The sequence below is a fragment of the Homo sapiens genome, chromosome 7 (genome assembly GCF_000001405.40).
Source record: "Homo sapiens chromosome 7, GRCh38.p14 Primary Assembly".
NCBI classification, from domain to species: Eukaryota; Metazoa; Chordata; class Mammalia; order Primates; family Hominidae; genus Homo; species Homo sapiens.
This window is the reverse complement of record NC_000007.14, coordinates 114,839,661-114,841,971: the sequence shown is the minus strand read 5'-3', so window position 1 is coordinate 114,841,971 and position 2,311 is coordinate 114,839,661.

Below are 2,311 nucleotides of genomic sequence, written 5' to 3'. Positions count from 1 at the left end.
GCAGGAGAATCGCTTGAACCCAGGAGGCGGAGGTTGCAATGAGCAGAGATTGCACCACTGCACTCCAGCCTGGCGACAGAATGAGACTCCGTCTCAAAAAAAAAAAAAAAAAATTATGAGATCTACTTTGTTTAACTGTAGTTCACAAGACCCTCATTCCAGAGAAGACCCTACCCTACACCCAGAAGGAAGGAATACATGCTCAGAGAGCCCAGGAAGAATCCAGACAGACAGGCTCTGCCTCGTTTCCCTACTCAGTCTATTAGCATTAGATCATAACTGTTTTGTCCAATCATACTTTTACCTGGCTGCTCATACTTTGTTGAATCTAAGCATAAAAATGAACAAGTTTCCCTTTATCTTTGGGTCTTCATTCTAATGACTCCCATGTGTACATGTTACATGAATTTGTATGCCTTTTCTTTAGTGAATCTGCTTTTTATGAGTTCCTTTTTCAGTGAACTTTCAGAGACCAAAGGGGAACTTTCCCGTTGGCCCTTACACTATTTATTATTACTGGAACAGGAATATATTGTAACAGGAGATCTTTGAGTTAATCATACTTTTTGAATAGACTTTTGCTTCATCAATACACTTTAACTCAAATGGCACTATTTTTAGCTCCACATTCATCTTGAACTTTTATTACTTTATATACTCTTTGTAGGTTCTCTTCTTACATATGTGTGAAATTTTAAAAGGTATTTTAAAGTAGCAGTTAAGTTTGCAAATGTGCTGTTAAATAAATACTCAAAATATTATGTTGTGTATGGGTAATGTGGCAAGATGAGATTTTCTTTCTTCTCCCATTTTCTTTCTTTGACCTTACTACATGTGATTAAATCAGTAAAGAGACAGACTTATGTGTGAACTCAGAGGTTGTGCTCTGAGATTTGGTCAATTTTAGCAAGAAAACTCTCTAAATGTTTCAGAATTGTTTCCTTTTAATAATTGGTAAGACTTAAACCTTCTCCTGCAAAGAATAAGTACAATCTACTGCAACACTTCCAATACGGAGCTGAGAGAATGATGCAAGACCTTGCTATATGCCTTTCTGGATACTTAGGACGTAAAGCTAAGGGCAGACAACATGAAAAGACCAAGTAAAATGTCTCCTAGAAGGCTAGGAGAAGGTATATTGGAAAGAAAATGGGCTTCAGGAGGCCTATACAGAGTTTGTAGCTTCATAGGGCAAATAGCGAGCTATTTTGTAATATTCACTGGGCTGTGCGTTCATGTCAAGATTACTTCCTTTTTTGTTGAACTGTACCTACACATCTTTCTAGGTAATATGCACATAATTAAGGCTTGACAACCATAACAAGTCATCATTTCAAAAGCTAAAATTAATTTTTTATCAGTAATTGTTCCGAATTTAGAAAGGAGAAAGCAGTCATTTCCTAACCATAAGAGTTGTGTATTTTGCCTAATGACAGGGCTACATTTTATAAGTGTTGTCTGGTAAGTATAATTTATTAAATGTATCAAATAATTGTTTGAAAAATAACAATAATTGCCTCTTCTTGCAAATGATGCTCACAGTAATGTCAAGCTCTTCCAAAATTGAATGATTTACTTCTGCTTTTCATTGAATAAAACAACTAGCAGATTATCCTTAGACTGCTATTTCATGTACTGTATTTATTTTACAAAAGCAAAATTGTGAAGGGAACAATTTACCAGAATCAAATGCTGCTCTCTTCATCTTTACTTTCCTTGTTGGCTGTGGCATGCACAATGTAATGGTTATATTGTCAAGATTCCACTAGATTGCAATTCATTTTCCCCCTGTTACCCAAGAGCCTAAAAGCAAATTCCCAACAATATATTAAGAGGCATAGAACAATTCTTGAAAAAAGAATTAGATTAGATATGAAGCAATACAGGAAAAGTTGGAAATTGGGAATTATACTTATCAAGTTGCATGTGAAGAAATGTCATTTGTGAGCTCTCCAAGGAACCTGTTGTGGCTGTTTGATACACTGTGCCTAGGATTTGTCAGGTTGCACCATAGTTCTTGGATTAAAAGAAACAAGCATTCATTTATCTTGTAAAACTGCTCCTAAGATGGACCAATTTGTCTGCCAATGTTTATCCTTCTTTCAATCTACGAAGTGGATTTTTCCTGAATAAAAGCTAATGCTGAGCTATTTTTATTCTCTTTTTGTGTGTTCAACTGAGTTTTCTTGCCTCATGAATATGCCTCAATCTTTTTCCTGAGCTTTTCCATACTTATTGTTGAATATTTAGTGAGCCATAATTAAATTTGTATTATCTGGAAAAACAGCATCCAGATAATTCAGATATGAAA